Here is an 18996-nt window from a genome sequence, read left to right as displayed (position 1 = left end):
TTGATGTGCTGCTGGATTCGTTTTGCCAGTATTTTATTGAGGATTTTTGCATCAATGTTCATCAAGGATATTGGTCTAAAATTCTCTTTTTTGGTTGTGTCTCTGCCTGGCTTTGGTATCAGAATGATGCTGGCCTCATAAAATGAGTTAGGGAGGATTCCCTCTTTTTCTATTGATTGGAATAGTTTCAGAAGGAATGGTACCAGTTCCTCCTTGTACCTCTGGTAGAATTCGGCTGTGAATCCATCTGGTCCTGGACTCTTTTTGGTTGGTAAACTATTGATTATTGCCACAATTTCAGCTCCTCTTATTGGTCTATTCAGAGATTCAACTTCTTCCTGGTGTAGTCTTGGGAGAGTGTATGTTTCCAGGAATTTATCCATTTCGTTCTAGATTTTCTAGTTTATTTGCGTAGAGGCATTTGTAGTATTCTCTGATGGTAGTTTGTATTTCTGTGGGATCGGTGGTGATATCCCCTTTATCGTTTTTTATTGTGTCTATTTGATTCTTCTCTCTTTTTTTCTTTATTAGTCTTGCTAGCAGTCTATCAATTTTGTTGATCCTTTCAAAAAACCAGCTCGTGGATTCATTAATTTTTTGAAGGGTTTTTTTGTATCTCTATTTCCTTCAGTTCTGTTCTGATTTTAGTTATTTCTTGCCTTCTGCTAGCTTTTGAATGTGTTTGCTCTTGCTTTTCTAGTTCTTTTAATTGTGATGTTAGGGTGTCAATTTTGAATCTTTCCTGCTTTCTCTTGTGGGCATTTAGTGCTATAAATTTCCCTCTGCACACTGCTTTGAATACGTCCCAGAGATTCTGGTATGTTGTGTCTTTGTTCTCGCTGGTTTCAAAGAACATCTTTATTTCTGCCTTCATTTCGTTATGTATCCAGTAGTCATTCAGGAGCAGGTTGTTCAGTTTCCATGTAGTTGAGCGGTTTTGAGTGAGATTCTTAATCCTGAGTTCTAGTTTGATTGCACTGTGGTCTGAGAGATAGTTTGTTATAATATCTGTTCTTTTACATTTGCTGAGGAGAGCTTTACTTCCAAGTATGTGGTCAATTTTGGAATAGGTGTGGTGTGGTGCTGAAAAAAATGTATATTCTGTTGATTTGGGGTGGAGAGTTCTGTAGATGTCTATTAGGTCCGCTTGGTGCAGAGCTGAGTTCAATTCCTGGGTATCCTTTTTGACTTTCTGTCTCATTGATCTGTCTAATGTTGACAGTGGGGTGTTAAAGTCTCCCATTATTAATGTGTGGGAGTCTAAGTCTCTTTGTAGGTCACTCAGGACTTGCTTTATGAATCTGGGTGCTCCTGTATTGGGTGCATATATATTTAGGATAGTTAGCTCTTCTTGTTGAATTGATCCCTTTACCATTATGTAATGGCTTTCTTTGTCTCTTTTGATCTTTGTTGGTTTAATGTCTGTTTTATCAGAAACTAGGATTGCAACCCCTGCCTTTTTTTGTTTTCCATTTGCTTGGTAGATCTTCCTCCATCCTTTTATTTTGAGCCTAAGTGTGTCTCTGCACGTGAGATGGGTTTCCTGAATACAGCACACTGATGGGTCTTGACTCTTTATCCAATTTGCCAGTCTGTGTCTTTTAATTGGAGCATTTAGTCCATTTACATTTAAAGTTAATATTGTTATGTGTGAATTTGATCCTGTCATGATGATGTTAGCTGGTGATTTTGCTCGTTAGTTGATGCATTTTCTTCCTAGTCTCGATGGTCTTTACATTTTGGCATGATTTTGCAGCGGCTGGTACCGGTTGTTCCTTTCCATGTTTAGCGCTTCCTTCAGGAGCTCTTTTAGGGCAGGCCTGGTGGTGACACAATCTCTCAGCATTTGCTTCTCTGTAAAATATTTTATTTCTCCTTCACTTATGAAGCTTAGTTTGGCTGGATATGAAATTCTGGGTTGAAAATTCTTTTCTTTAAGAATGTTGAATATTGGCCCCCACTCTCTTCTGGCTTGTAGGGTTTCTGCCGAGAGATCCGCTGTTAGTCTGATGGGCTTCCCTTTGAGGGTAACCCGACCTTTCTCTCTGGCTGCCCTTAACATTTTTTCCTTCATTTCTACTTTGGTGAATCTGATAATTATGTGTCTTGGAGTTGCTCTTCTCGAGGAGTATCTTTGTGGTGTTCTCTGTATTTCCTGAATCTGAACGTTGGCCTGCCTTGCTAGATTGGGGAAGTTCTCCTGGATAATATCCTGCAGAGTGTTTTCCAACTTGGTTCCATTCTCCCCATCACTTTCAGGTACACCAATCAGACGTAAATTTGGTCTTTTCACATAGTCCCATATTTCTTGGAGGCTTTGCTCATTTCTTTTTATTCTTTTTTCTCTAAACTTCCCTTCTCGCTTCATGTCATTCATTTCATCTTCCATTGCTGATACCCTTTCTTCCAGTTGATTGTATCGGCTCCTGAGGCTTCTGCATTCTTCACGTAGTTCTGGAGCCTTGGTTTTCAGCTCCATCAGCTCCTTTAAGCACTTCTTTGTATTGGTTATTCTAGTTATACATTCTTCTAAATTTTTTTCAAAGTTTTCAACTTCTTTGCCTTTGGTTTGGATGTCCTCCCGTGGCTCAGAGTAATTTGATCGTCTGAAGCCTTCTTCTCTCAGCTCGTCAAAGTTATTCTCCATTCAGCTTTGTTCTGTTGCTGGTGAGGAACTGTGTTCTTTTGGAGGAGGAGAGGCTCTCTGCGTTTTAGAGTTTCCAGTTTTTCTGTTCTGTTTTTTCCCCATCTTTGTGGTTTTATCTACTTTTGGTCTTTGATGATGGTGATGTACAGAAGGGTTTTTGGTGTGGATGTCCTTTCTGTTTGTTAGTTTTCCTTCTAACAGACAGGACCCTCAGCTGCAGGTCTGTTGGAATAGCCTGCCGTGTGAGGTGTCAGTGTGCCCCTGCTGGGGGGTGCCTCCCAGTTAGGCTGCTCAGTGGTCAGGGTTCAGGGACCCACTTGAGGAGGCAGTCTGCCCGTTCTCAGATCTCCAGCTGTGTGCTGGGAGAACCACTGCTCTCTTCAAAGCTGTCAGACAGGAACATTTAAGTCTGCAGAGGTTACTGCTGTCTTTTTGTTTGTCTGTGTCCTGCCCCCAGAGGTGGAGCCTACAGAGGCAGGCAGGCCTCCTTGAGCTGTGGTGGGCTCCACCCAGTTCCAGCTTCCTGGCTGCTTTGTTTACCTAAGCAAGCCTGGGCAATGGCGGGTGCCCCTCCCCCAGCCTCGCTGCCGCCTTGCAGTTTGATCTCAGACTGCTGTGGTAGCAATCAGCGACACTCTGTGGGCGTAGGACCCTCCGAGCCAGGTGCGGGATATAATCTCGTGGTGCAACGTTTTTTAAGCTGGTCAGAAAAGCGCAATATTTGGGTGGGAGTGACCCGATTATCCAGGTGCGTCTGTCACCCCTTTCTTTGACTCAGAAAGGGAACTCCCTGACCCCTTGCGCTTCCCAAGTGTGGCAATGCCTCGCCCTGCTTTGGCTCGTGCATGGTGCACGCACCGACTGACCTGCGCCCAATGTCTGGCACTCCCTAGTGAGATGAACCCGGTACCTCAGTTGGAAATGCAGAAATCACCGGTCTTCTGCGTCGCTCACGCTGGGAGCTGTAGACCGGAGCTGTTCCTATTTGGCCATCTTGGCTCCTCCCTCCAAACTTTTCTTTTGAGAAATCTGAACATGATGCAGGGTAGACTCACCAATATCAATACCTAAAAAATAAGTAGATTAAAATTACTTAGAATGGCTATGTTGTGCTTATCTCAGAGTTGTCTGTAAATTCTTAAAGACATTCTAGTTTACCAATGTTGTCCTAAAACTAATCAAGTAAATATGGACCACTTAATTAGGGTCTCTCTATATTTATATTTAGATGCTAGTTCTGTACAATTCTTCCTTTTGAATTATTATTACTCTTAAAAAAGCTTCCAAAACTCTGACCAAAAATAACACAATTTTAAAGGAAGTAAAAATGAGTAGCTACATTTTCAAGTGTGAATATGTCTACACTGAAGACAAATGTTATGCTTTTCTTAATTATCTTCTGGGATGAATACTTCAAAATCATCCATACTATTTATTTTGTTTGGCAATTTAAGCACTTAGACTTTGGGAATTGGTAAAGTAAAAAGAAAAACAAAAACACAACGCTGAACGTATACCATGAATAAGCTTTAAAATGGCATTGCTGATTCCTAGGCAAAGCTACATTTTACACCCAGGTTAATTAGTTGTCAGAAAAGTGGAAGAGATGATCTGATCATAAGCCAGGAGCAGGTGGTAATGATCTGAGAAATTTACTGGTTCTCTGAAGCAATAGAAAAATTACTTAAACCTGCTAGTATAAAGCTAAAACCTCCTAGATTTCTACTTTGATTTACAGGGACACAAGAGTTATAACATTTTAAATAAAAGAAGGAGGTGAATATGGGTTAGGTAAATTATGTTAGGCATCTTGTGAACAAATAGGGAAAATAAAAGAAGGAGGTGAATTTGGATTAGGTAAATTATGTTAGGCATCTTGTGAACAAATAGGGAAAATAAAAGAAAGGAATAATTGTTGAAATAAATTCCCTGTTACAAATTAATTTTACAGTCTTCTGATTAACGTAGAAAGCGAGCAAAATTGTAATGTGTTTATGTTAATTTGCAACCTGTTCAACAAAAGTCAAATGTCATTGACAGTAAATACCAATTTGTTTATTATGTGACATTTACATTAGAAATAAATAAGAATGCCAAAGAAGTTAAATGAAGAAATATACAGTTTGTGTGCATATGCATGTATTTATGTAAATCAAAACACCATATTTTTTATTACCTATATGCATAAGTTTGAAGTAGAAAAAATAATTCAATGGGGTGGTAAGTTCGGAATATACTAAAGAATGGAAGAAGCACATTAAAAAAATTAAACCAGAGATTATGAGAAGAAAGTATGAAAAACCAGGTGATACTACAATGAGATTATAGTATCCATAGTGAGACATTATTTTTTTCTCTTTTTTGTTCTTGTTCATGTATGTTCACACATACACAAAATGTATTCACATACAGATATTGCCACAGAACATTAACCCTATTTCATACATATTATCATCACTGAACAAACCAGAAGCATAAAGCAATTTTATTTTATTTTATTTTATTTATTTTTATTTATTTATTTATTTGTTGAGACGGAGTCTCTCTCTGTCTGCCCAGACTGGAGTGCAGTGGCTTGATCTCAGCTCACAAGCTCCGCCTCCTAGGTTCACGGCATTCTCCTGCCTCAGCCTCGGGAGTAGCTGGGAATACGGGTGCCCGCCACCAAGCCCGGCTATTTTTTTTTTTTTAAGTAGAGGCAGGGTTTCACCATGTTAGCCAGGATGGTCTCGATCACCTGACCTCGTTATCCCGCCTGGGATAACGCCTGCCTCGGCCTCCGAAAGTACTAGGATTACAGGCGTGAGCCACTGCACCCAGCCAAGCAATTATATTTTAATTGGAGGAGAAATATACTAGATACATTTTGTGTCCTTCCAAAACTTCCCTCTCTCTCCTATTCTCTGCCAGGTTGCCCACCCAGTATGAATCACATCAATTAGTTTGCATGATTTCTAACTTCCTGTTGAGTTCAGCCAATGGGAAATCATGGCAGAGGATCTGAGAAGAGAGTCATCAAGGTCATTCTTCACACCTTGTAAGCCTGCCTTTTGATTGCTCTGTCTCTTCACAGAAGGTCTCTGCTTCTCCCAAAGTAACCTGTTCTACAAAATTTTTCTTCTTTACGTGGTAAATCTAAGCTTCTCCCTTCCCTCAACCTTTTGAAACTAGGTAATGATATTTGTACCAGTGCTTAACATCAAGGACAAGCACTTTTCATTATGATTGTCCTATGTACCAACCAAACTTTTGGATTTTTTTAAAACTTTCTTTGAATTTTTCAAATTTGTGTGTGCCATCTCTTTCCAACTGGACTCTGACTAAATGAGAAAATAAAATTGGCCATTTTTATGCCTTGAACAATATCAACAGTAAAAATGGCAAAACTTTTTATACAGAAAATACATCTGGGTTAAGATGGCCCAATTAGACGCAGCTAGGAAGTACCACTGCCACCAAGAGAAACCAAGGTTTTGAGTAAACCAACCTAATTTGGACAGATCTTCAGAGAGAAAACACATACTGGATAAAGATGTGATACAGATGCTAAGGCCAAGGAGAGAGGAAGCTGGGAATCCTGACAGGTTACCCAAATGCTGGGGCTTGTTTTCAGCCCCAAATGGCACCTGGGAAACAAGTGACAGAAGGGACTGTGAGACTTCCCAACCTTGCTTCAGACTTCTGTGATCCTGGCTGCAGGGAGCCCCATGTCCACCATCAGTGTTTGAGCTGACAGGGGGATTTGCATTGAGAGTAGGCAGACAGCTATTTAGCTGGTATGGAAGTGGGAGGTGTTGTGCACAGGGCAGTTCTGATGGAGCATGGACATAGCACCCATCCTTAAAGCTTCCTGTGTCCCTCTGAGAAGCTCTAGCCCTAGCTGACCACTGAGCCAGGAGAAAGTGGCGTTGACTCCCCTATGGGATTAGGGCATGTCTGGTCTGCAGGCCCTGCTGCCCTCCAACCCCTCTGAGATGTTCACCAATACCCTTGATTAACATAGAAACAAAAATATATTTTATGTGCATAGACACAAAAATTCTCAACAAAATACTAGCAAACCAAATCTGGTGGCATATTAATAAGTTAACACACCATGATTAAGTAGGCTTTATTTCTGGGATGCAAGGCTGATTCAACATATGCAAATCAATACATGCAATTCACCATGTAAGTAGAATTAAAAGCAAAAACCACATGATTATTTCAAGTGACAAAGGAAAAGCTTTTGTTAAAATCCAACATCCCTTCATGATAAAATCCCTCAAGAGATGAGTCATCACAGGAACATACCTAAAAATAATAAGAGCCAACTGTGAGAAACCCACAGCCAATATCGCACTGAACAGGCAAAAGCTGGAGCCATTCCCTTTGAGACCTGAACAGGACAAGGATGCCTACTCTCACCAGCCCTATTCAACATAATACTGGAAGTCCTAGCCAGAGTAATCAGGCAAGGAAAATAAATACAGGCATCTAAACAGGAAAAGAAGAAGTAAAACAATCTTTGTTCGTTGACAATATGATTTTATACCTAGAAAACCATAAACACTCTGACAAAGTTCTCCTAGAACTGATAAATGACATTAATAAAATCTGAGGATACAAAACCAATGTACAAAATTCAATAGCATTTCTATAGATGAATAATATCCAGGCTGATAATAAAATCAAGAACATAATCTCACTTAAAATTGCCACAAAGAAAATGAAATACCTAGCAATGCAGCTAACTAAAGGAGTGAAATATTTCAACAAGGAGAACTACAAAATGATACTGAAAGAGCTCAGTGATGACAAAAATAAATGAAAAAACATTCCATGTTCATGGATTGGAAGAATAAATTTTGCTAAAAATGGCTATATTGTCCAAAGCAATTTATATATTCAATGTTGTTTCTACCCAACTTTCAACAGTATTCATCATTCTTCACAGAATTAGAAAAAACTATTCCAAAATTTATATGGACCAAAAAAGAGCCCAAATAGCCCAAGTAATAATAAGCAAAAAACAAACAAAAAAAAAAAAAGGAAAAAAGAAAAAAAAAACAGGCTGGAGACATCACACTACTTGAAATATTGCTTGAATATTTAACTTCAACTGATATTGCAAGGCTACAACAACCAAAATAGCTTGGTACTGGTACCGAAACCAAAACAAACACATAGACTGATGGAACAGAATAGAAAACTCAGAAATAAAACTGCACACCTACAGCCATTTAATCTTTGACAACACCAACAAGAAACAAGCAAAGGGTAAAATACTTCATTAAAATCATTCTGGTTTTACTGGTTAACCATATGTAGAAGAATGAAATTGGACCCTTAACCTTTTACCATATACAAAAATTTATTCCAGATGGATAAAAGATGTAAGACCTCAAACTAAAAATCCAAGAATAAAACCTAGGAAATAAACCCTTCTCAACATTAGCCTTCTTAAAGAATTATTGGTTAAGTCCCCAAAAGCAATTGCAACAAAAACAAAAAATGAAAAGTGAGACCTAATTAAACTAAAGTGCTTCTTCACAGCAGAAGAAACTATCAACACAGTAAACAGACAACTTCCAGAATGGGAGAAGTCATTCTGAAGCAATAAATCAGGCAAAGGTCTAATATGCAGAATCTACAAGACACTTAAATCAACAAGCAAAAACAAATATTCCCATTAAAAATGGGCAAAGGCATGAACACACTGATATGGTTTGGCTGTGTCCCCACCAAAATCTCATCATGAATTGTAGTCCCTACAATCCTGTGTCATGGGAGAGACCTGGTGGGAAGTAATTGAATCATGGGACCAGTTTCCCATATGCTATTCTCATGATAGTAAGTTATCACGAGATCTAATGGTTTTAGAAGGGGCTACCCCCTCTGAATGGTTTTCATTCTTCTCCTTCCTGCTGTGATGTTAAGAAGGGCATATTTGCTTCCCCTTCTGCCATGATTATAAGTTTACTGAGGCTTCCCCAGCCATGCAGAACTGTGAGGCAATTAAACCTCTTTACTTTATAAATTACCCAGTCTCAGGTATTTCTTTGTTAGCAGCGTGAGGACAGACTAATACACACACACTTTTCAAAAGAAGACCTAAATTGGCCAATATACATAAGAAAAATGCTATTTATTTCTAATCATCAGAGAAACACAAATCAAAATCACAACGAGATACCATCTCACACCATTCAGAAAAGCAGTTATTAAAAAGTAGAAAATCAACAGATGCTGTTGAGGCTGCAGAGCAAAGGGAATGCTTATATAGTGTTGGTGGGAATGTTAATTAGTTCAGCCATTTTGAAAAGCAGCCTGGAGATTTCTCAAAGAACTTAAAAAAGAGCTACCATTTGTTCCAGCAATCCCATTACTGGGTATATACCCCGCAAAAAATAAATCATGCTACCAAAAAGACACGTGCAGTAGTATGTTCATCACTACACTATTCACAGTAGCAAAGATATGAAATCAATCCAGGTGCCCATCAATGGTGGATTGGATAAAGAAAATGTGGTACATACATAGCATGGAATACTGTGCAGCCATAAGAAAATAACTAAATCATGTCCTTTGCAGCAACATGGATACAGCCGGAGGCCATAACACTAAGCAAATTAATGAAGAACAGAAAACCAAAAACTTATGCATGTTCTCACTTATAAGTGGGAGCTAAACATTTAGCCCACGTGGACGTAAACATGGGAGCAACAGACACTCTGGACTATTGACTATTAGGGTAGAGAGGAAGGGATGGGTGTGGGTGGAAAAACTGCCTTTTGGCTCGTGTGTTCATTACCTGAGTAACGACATCCATAGTCCAAACCTCAGCATCATGGAATATATTCTTGGATCAAACCTGCATGTGTACTCCATATATCAAAAATAAAATTTGAAATTTTAAAAATAAAAAGAAAACACATGGAATATGTACATAAGCATATGAAAAATGTGTTTTCTTTAATAAATAGTAACTTTATTAATAGGAAGAATGAGGAGAAGGAGAAGGACAAGGAGAAGAAAGAATGGAAGGAGAAGAAGAGAGGAATGAAAAACATGATGTCATCTATTATTACAATGATCTTATAATTTTAATATCCTCTAGGTATCTCTGATTCTCAAACTTTATTTTTGGTGTCATTCAGAACCCGTTGGGAAATTCTTCAAAGATTTCCAGGCCTTTTCCATAGACATTCTGGTTTAGCAGATGGGGAGTGGTTCATGAAACTGCATCTTAAACATCACCACAGGTGATTTTGCTCCAAGTGTTCTATGAACCAAAATTTGAAACACATGCATGGACATAAATGGACATATGATTTTATATATGTCTGATTTTGTTTGTGTGATTATGTGATGAAAGCACTATTATCGAGACACAATACATTTAAAGATGTGTCCTACATTGTTTTTTCGGTGAGTATCCCAACTAAAGACTTGGGATAAAAAAGAGTAATTTAAAGATTGACCTTCAAATCAATATTTGTTGATAATAATAAGATACATTAAAACATCAACAAAAGTTAATCTCACAAATTGTGAACTTTTGAGTTAGTAACTAGAAATGCACTCAAAACATCATGTTATTGTATTTATAACTGAATGTGGCTTTCTTTTGAGACTCTGAATTAAAACAAGAAATATGAGTTTTGCTATATTATTTCCAAAATATTTAACAAATGGGATATCTGAGCAATATGCCTCAAAACCTAGTCTTCTTCATACATGTTGACAATGTTTGTCTATATTCCACTTGTGCTAATATCTACATGATATTTTTTCTATTAGCAGATTTTAAATCAGTTCAATTCTCTTTCTTTTAGACTTACTCTAAGGAATAATATCTGCCAAGCCATTGATTTGACGTTCTTGACAAATTTGTTCTAATTAGCATTAAATGGAAAATGATTTGTCAAATAAATGATTCATCAATGTGACACAACATAATTTTGTATATTATCATTGTTACTTATATTAGTGTTTGACAAGCATTAAAATTTTTAATATTTTCAGGCCATATTGATATATTTTTTTAAAAACTATTTTTTGCGTAACATTTGTGAGAGATAAATGGCAAAATAAAACTCTTAACTACATGTCATAGAGAAATGCATATTGTAATTCTTCCTTCAAATGGTACTGTATTCAAAATTTAACTATTAAAAAAGGGATGGGGTTTACTTGTTAAAGCTGTGATTAGTGGAAAGAATATCACAGAAAGAAAGATATATCAGTAAAAGCCCAGCCTCATGTTGAGTTGGCCTCATCACATACTTTAAATATCTGGGAAAATATGGACATGTTTCAATATCCTGCCTATTGCCCACTCAAAAGTATCTCAATATACGATTTGATATAATTCTGCTTCATCTCTTTTTATTTTTTGTTCAACTTTTAAACTTAAGGTGACTACTGAAAACATTGTTGAACCCTCATATTAATTCCTGATTAAACACCCATGTGTATTTTTCAAATTAATATTTCACTTGAAGCTGCATGTTCTTATTTATGTAAAATTATAAAATTAAAGAATAAGGTTTTTTTGAGAAAAACAACTATTTTTAGCTACTTTTTATAATATTTATTTGGGGAAAAATTACAAGAAAATATAACTTTATTGGTAAAATATTTCTAGATCTTACATTGAAAATATGCCTACTGTTTTTCACATGAAATTCTCTTTCAAGTTGAAGAATTAAAAGGGGCTTTCCCCCAGCTAGAATTTATTCATTTTTTCTTATATTGTTTAATTTCAACAAGCTTTGATTATTTTATCACTAATAATAGTGAAATTTACTGAATGGTCATTGTATGCTATGCATGCCCTCATATATTGGGATGCTTGAACTTTGTGGCTAACTATGATGCAGATATAATGAACACAAGTTCAAAGACATGATAATTTTAATGTTTAAAAATATTTCAGTGATAAAGCCAGCATTTGAACTCAAATCTAACTATATCTCTATATCTTTTAGTGGAATACAGTTACAAGTATATAAAGTGAATATGTTGCTAGAGTCAAAAAAAATTAAAAAGCATATTATATTAAAACATTCTCTTTTCCTAAAATACAAGGAATTCAAAAACATCCAAATAAGATGTTTAAAAAATCCTGCATATGTAGAACAATAGATTAACTGGAATGTACCCATAACCCACCATAACCATTGACCTAAAAAGCCTTGGATTGTCCACGAGTTTTAAAAGTGAATCCCATTTCGGTTTCTTACCTGCTTACAGCAATCCTCTTTCTCACATAAGTAATTACTACTCTCATCTCCATCAGGAGAGGGATCCCTAGCATACATGTTTTTATAGCTAACAACGGAAGTTCTCCCTTTATCCAAACCGAATCAAATTTTTCTTCCATGAATTTACTTTCTATCAACCAATATGCTTAGAATTTGTACTAATAATTCCACACTGAGAGTGTAATTTTTTATTATAAGCTACAGGAAATTTATCAATGCCTTGAAAAATTATCATTACATATATGTAAGAGGTATTTTAGGTAAATTGCTTAAAGGTAATGTGATGGTCAATGTTGTCACCTTGATTGGATTAAAGAATGCAAATTATTGTTCCTGGTTGTGTCTGTGAGGGTATTACCAAAGGAGATTAACATTTGAGTCAGTGGGCCAGGAGAAGCCGACCTACCCTCAATCTGTGTGGGCACCATCTAACCAGCTGCCAACATGGCTAGAATAAAGCAGGCAGGAGCGATGGAAGAGCAGACTTTCTAAGTCTTCTGGCATTCAATCTTTCTTTCTCTAGTATACTTCCTGCCCTCTAACATCAGACTCCAAGTTCTTCAGCTTTTGGACTCTGAGTTACACCAGTGGTTTGCCAGTGGCTCTTGGACCTTTGGCCACAGACTGAAGGCATCACTGTCGGGTTCACTACTTTTGAGGTTTTGGGACTCGGACTGATCCACCACTGGCTTCCTTGCTCCTCAACCTGCAGATGGCCTATTATGGGACTTTAATTTGAGATCGTGTGAGTCAATTCCCCTTCATAAACTCCCCCTCTATATATACATATCCTATTAGTTCTGTCTTTCTAGACAACCCTGACTAATACAGGTAAACAGAAACATACGGACAAAAGACATCTAATGATTTGGAATATTGCAAATTAATCTGAAAAGAGGAAGAATCAAATCCTAAAAGTATCAGTTGCCAGATATTGAGCATTTCTTGCCAGCACTTGAAAAGTCTAATTTGGTGATATTTACAGGCTGTGCTGTATTTCTTGCCAGCAGGAGGTATTTAGTTAGAATAGGCCATATTGTGAATAGCACATCCTCATTAGGACCAAGGACTAATGGAAATTTCTTTCCTATTTTATACCTAATTACTGAAAATTTTTGGACAAATTTATTTTTGAATATTTGGACAAACACACTAGATCTGGAACCAACATATATTTTTGTGGCCAAAATATAGTTGAAATTCAGTATCAGTTTAATCTCCACTTACATCTTCACAATAAATATCAAATTAAAATGCAATGAATTCTCAAATTAGGATATTCAGAATCATAAAATCATTTTGGAATAGATGCGGTATTATCATTTAAAATAACAATAAGTCAGACATAGTGCTAAGCTTCTTATCTTTATTTCCCATTATATAATGTATGCAATAATCAAAGAAAGTGAGATACTGCTAAGAAGTTCAGAATCAAATATGTGTCTTAATTTCAATAATATATGCTCTTCATGTCTGAAATAACTAGTCTAATCTTGTTTTGTGATATAAATATTCTCATATTTTTAGTTTTTAGTACCCATATTCTTGAATTACACAAATATTGGAAGATCAATATTGTATACATAAGGAAATAGATACTTAAGGCTATTAAGAAGTCACCAAAGGCTACCGAAAAGACAGGATCTTTTACTCCAAATTTGGGTATAGTACTGGTAGCTAAAGAGATATTTTTATTATACTATTGCAATTATTTGGATAACTCTTATCTTAGTTTTAACTATTTTTATGCCCAAACTAACAAAAATGATTTCTCATTTTCAAGAACATTCTAGAAACAAAACATTTTAAATTTATAATTACCATATACAGCATACAGGGTTGATGCCTATTAGTTTTTAAAATAATGAATTCTAAATCTACCTTAGATATCGATTCTCCACAATCTAAAGAGAGAACATCATCCTTAAAAAAAAAACATAATGTGGCTGGACACAGTGGCTCATGCTTGTCATCTCAGCACTTTGGGAGACTAAGTTGGTCAGATCACCTGATGTCAGAAGTTCGAGACCAGCCTGGCCAACATGGTGAAATCCTGTCTCTGCTAAAAATACAAAATTAGCCAGGTGTGGTGGCGCATGCCTGAAATCCCAGCTTCTCTGGAAGCTGAGGCAGGAGAATTGCTTGAACCCAGGAGGCAGAGGTTGCAGTGAGCCGAGATGGTGCCATTGTATTCCATCCTGGGTGACAAGAACAAAACTCTGTCATAAACAAACCAACCAACTATAATGTTATACTGAAGTATTCTAAAAACACAGAAAAACTTTTGTATTCCCTTCTTAGAAGGTGAGGGCAAACTTATTAGGCATGCTGGCTATATGAGTTGGCACCAGAGAAGGCCCATTAAGATGGAGGTAGATTCAATTGACAGTGTGTTAAGTGACAGAAGGAATATTGTCACAGGAGTGAATGTGTACTGGAATTGAAGAGAAATCTTCAAGTCAATATTATTGGTATAGCTTCAGGGATGAGGATCAAAGGTGACAATAAATTTAAATGATAAAACATTTCAGGGAACAAAACTTACTGGAATGAAATGAATGATATCAGGATATGGTTACCTTTTTACTAAATATTGAAAGAATGTTTCACTTGTGGGTTATTTTTAATTCCCTGTAGAATAGACTACACACTCCTTCTTCAGCCCAGCAAGGCTCTGTGTAACCTGGTCTCTGCCACATCTCTAAATATTTACTCCCATTGCCTTCCTAGCTCACCATATTTCATGCCTACTGGATTTATTCCTATAATGTAGTAGATCCTATTCCTGTTTTCCATAACCCTGCCTAGGAACCTGTACCCAATAGGTTCATATTAGTTTCTGCTTGTTATCAAGATTTTTGCTAAAACTCCATGTCCCTTTAAAGTAGCTTCTTGAGCATCATATTGCAGTCCTCGAGCTGCCCAGTTCCAAAGATACACTGGCATATATTATAAATATCACCTACCAAATAGCTCGACAATAATCTTTTTATTTTATTTGTTTACGTGTTTATTGTATTTTTCCCCCACAAAATGTAAGCTCCTTGAGGCTAGTCAGGGGAGTTCCTTGCCATATTAACAACTCTATTTCAACATTTTAAAAGTCCCTGGAATATTGTAGGCAAAAAGTATATTTTGTAAATTTATTTATATTAGTTTTAATTAAATACTTCTGGAAACTCGAGCAATCCCCAGATCTTGGTAAATTACATACTTCTTACTTGTGTTTTATATTTACTGTGTGTCAACTGCCAGTGTACTACACATGTGTTTATTCTAGGCCTTTGGATGAAAAAGCCACTCAAACTGGGCCATGCCAATATTGAGGCAGTGGTAAAAAAGTGACAAAAAATATGCAGTGACACAAAGTATGTCATTTCTTTTCACATCATATTTTCTTAAGAAAGTCACTTGACCAAAAGGTTGACTTCAATGGGATATAGCAAGTCGCGTTCCATGGTCAGAAATGTATTATCCTAGTAGCATGTTACAGATGCAGGTTGATTAGTGTAGACTACACTAGAATAGACTGTATACACCTTTCTGTGCCTGAAGGGAAGAAAAGGAGATAACCATGAACAATAATGCAACCTATCATAGTATTCAAATTGATATAATCTAGGTGTAAGCAAAAAGCCATAGAATGCATTATTTTCTTTCTTTCTCTCTTTCTTTCTTTTTGAGACAAATTCTCTCTCTGTCATCCCAGCTGGAGTGCAGTGGCACAATCTCAGCTCACTGCCAGCTCTGCCTCCAGGGTTCATGCCATTCTCCTGCCTCAGCCTCTGAAGTAGCTGGGACTACAGGCGCCCGCCACCACACCAGGCTAACTTTTTGTATTTTTAGTAAAGATGGGGTTTCACCGTGTTAGCCAGGATAGTCTTGATCTCCTGACCTCGTAATCTGCCTGCCTCGGCCTCCCAAATTGCTGGGATTACAGGCATGAGCCACAGCTCCCAGCCAGAATACATTATTTTTCTGAGTGAAGCTAAGTGAACATTAGGGCAAGCTAAACCTGTGACCCAGCTCTCATAAACATGGTCAACACTTGATCTAACTAACATTGAAAACTCCTTCTGAATATATATATTTTAAAAAACTAAGTTATCATTCATTATGAGAACACTGTTATTTTGTGTAAACTTAAGAATAAAAAAAGCCAATTAAATATCCACAATGTTAAGAAGCATTTAGCAGAGATAATAAAATAAGACTAGCATAGGATAATTAAAATTTAAAAGATGCTAGTTAATTTTTAGATGGTAATTATTTAACTTAAGATACTTTTCCACAAGCTCTAAATATGTGTTTATATTTGACCTAACAAAGAGAAGATTAGCTAAGCGAATTAACAGATCACATAAATATATGGGAGCATATTTAATCGGCTTAAGTCAACATCTTTTAAATATAACCACCTATTAATTTTGATTAATAAATGATTGATACTATTTCTAAAAAATATATATACTTGTCAACTGGACAGCTGTTGATACCTATGTATGCGAAGAATACTGGGAGGCTAATTAGCAATGCTGGTTTTTATCATGATTGTCACTAGTAAGCAATAATTCTTTGGAAATGAAGATTGACCCCTCTGTTTCAGTTTAATATTCTGTACAATATTAGGATTGAGTTAGAGCATTGTTTTGCAAGCTGTGCTCCATGGATATTTAGAATTTGCTTGGTGGTTTTCAAAGAATATCAAGAGATGAGAATATGATGAAAGGGAGAGTAGAAATTTTTTTTATCTTTTCTCCAAATGAAGAAATTATTTTTAGTCCATTCTATATAATGAAGAACAATAAAAATAGAGAACAGAAAATAACTTGCTAACAAACTTTAGAGATCATGTGCTTTCTTTTAAAAAATATTTACATACATATTAAAATGAGAAGACAGGTGTATGAATTTCTTGATTACTCAGTTTGTGAATTTTAGGGACTGGAGCAGACTGGTAGGTTAGAGTTTGTCACAAAAAGTTTTACACACTCAAAGTTGTTTCACAGAATCATCTTTAAAAAGGTTTAACAATACTTTCTGATTATTATGACTATTTTGCGCTAGAAAAATTAATTCTAAGTGATCTGAAGTTGTCCTGAGCCATTTCATTGAAATAAGGGATACGCTGTGTGATACTGTGCACTAATCAAGTCATAAACCTACCAATTAATAGTATTGCCTTGTAAACATTGTTCTGACACAAGTTTAAGCTTGTCAGCATACTTTATTGGTAGCATGGGGTGATGATTTGCATCTTATCTTCATGAGACCCACGAGAGGACTCTGCCATTGGAGTGGATTACTTTAGTCTTGTGAGTCATTTTCTGTAGCAATTGCACCCTTACTAACTGCCACCATTAATGTGCCTGTTCACATGGACACAGATACACAGAAACACAAACCTACAGTTCCTATTACGTAACATACTTACCACACCTTTCGCTACTAAATGACAATGGCAAAGTTAATGTACCGATGAGGGAATATAGCTAGGATCCTGAGACCCAGAAGAAAATATTGATAATATCAAAATAGAGATTGCTTATGTTCTTGAGAGACAAAGAAGAGTGTCCGGATGCTTCAGGACCCAAGTAAGAGTTTTGGGGCCAGACAAACCAGTGTTTAACATTCACTCTGCATTTATTCTCTTAGTAATCCTAACCATGGTGCTTAACCCCTTAAGGCTTACATATAAAAGGAAGAAAACAATGCCTGCCCTGTTCCTACCTGGCTGTGTATAACAAATAAATTATATTTCTCTATCCTATCTATCTATATGTCTAAATACATATCTAAACAACAACATTTTCTGGTTAGTGATCCAAAATATCCCTTCCACACACCAAATACCATTTTCAGTGTTAAAGAATTCAAACTACTTTGACATTTTTGGAAGTGCCATATTGCTAAATGTAAAATTCTTAATAAATTAATGGTCTAATTTGAGAGAATGTTCTTTTAGAATGTATAGATAGTGACTTGGAGAATTGCTACACTTAATTTAAAATAAGACAAGAAGTAAAGGAGAGACAAATAAATAGACAAGCAAGAAAGTTGGAATGGAAGAAATTAATACTTATTATACCATATTTGAACATTATTTAAATACTTAATCACAACTTTTTCAGATAAAATTTAAATTTTAAAAACATACATGGTCACATGAGTAGAGACACAAAATTAAGTGTTACTGCATTATAGATTTGATCCAGAAAGCATAAAACAGATTTGATTTGTCCAATAAAGCTCTGCTAAATATGCATTTAATCCCTTTTCATTAATTTGTTAATAGTAAACTAGTGACAATGGAAGTAAATGTATTAGGAATAGTGGGGGTATGCAAATGTAAATAATTAAAGACACAGACTCCAGTTGGATGCATAACACAGTAGGGGAGTATTCTTGAGCACCAATAATTAAAAGCCTAATAAATAGTGCCATGTACCAGATAACAAAGGAGATAAACAAAATGGAGATAAAAAGGTTTCAAGTGTCTAAAAGTAAAAGACATTACTTTAGTCCAGGATATCCTAGAAAACATTACTAGGGAAATGGCATTTGAGAATAAAAATGTAGGACAACGTGAACATGTACAGATGTGGGCAGATGGTATTGCATTTGTAATAAACATTGCAAGGAAAGTATAGACATGGGGGAAAATGAAGAGTAGGGTTTTTCTTATATCTTTCACATTCTTTTGGCTGTTTAAAGACCTTTTCTTCTCTACTCTTCTTTACAGGTTATGTCCTCTTGTCCTAACATTTCCCTTGCCTCTTTCAAGTGATCCACAGCTAATTCATAATCTACTTATAGAGTTTATATTCTCAGTAGGAGACACTAAACAAAATAAGCAATTACATTTGATATTTTAACATGCAATTTGGAGAAATTAAAATCAGGTATTGTATTCAAGAGTGCATCGTGAAGGTGGTGTACATAACCGGAGTAATAAAAAGGCATTTCTCAGGATGTAAAATTTGATCCGAGAGCAGGTATGGAAAGAAAATAAAACAGAAAGAATGGCAATACAGCACTGGTGAAATAGAAGTAAAACCATGTGAACAGGCAGAATCATTTGAGTTAAGAAAAGGGAGTTTG

General features: G+C 36.2%; 1 annotated feature.

Moving 5' to 3' along the window:
- Nucleotides 2952-3460: an enhancer, noted in NCBI's record as "H3K27ac-H3K4me1 hESC enhancer chr14:43531733-43532241 (GRCh37/hg19 assembly coordinates)". NCBI's record gives its function as "activates a minimal SCP1, AML or CMV promoter by ChIP-STARR-seq in primed H9 embryonic stem cells {active_cell/tissue: H9 hESC(primed)}" and the evidence as "EXISTENCE:reporter gene assay evidence [ECO:0000049][PMID:30033119]".

The sequence above is a fragment of the Homo sapiens genome, chromosome 14, assembly GCF_000001405.40.
Source record: "Homo sapiens chromosome 14, GRCh38.p14 Primary Assembly".
Classification (NCBI taxonomy): Eukaryota; Metazoa; Chordata; class Mammalia; order Primates; family Hominidae; genus Homo; species Homo sapiens.
Note: the sequence above shows the minus strand (reverse complement) of the source record. Positions and strands in the feature narration are given on the sequence as shown.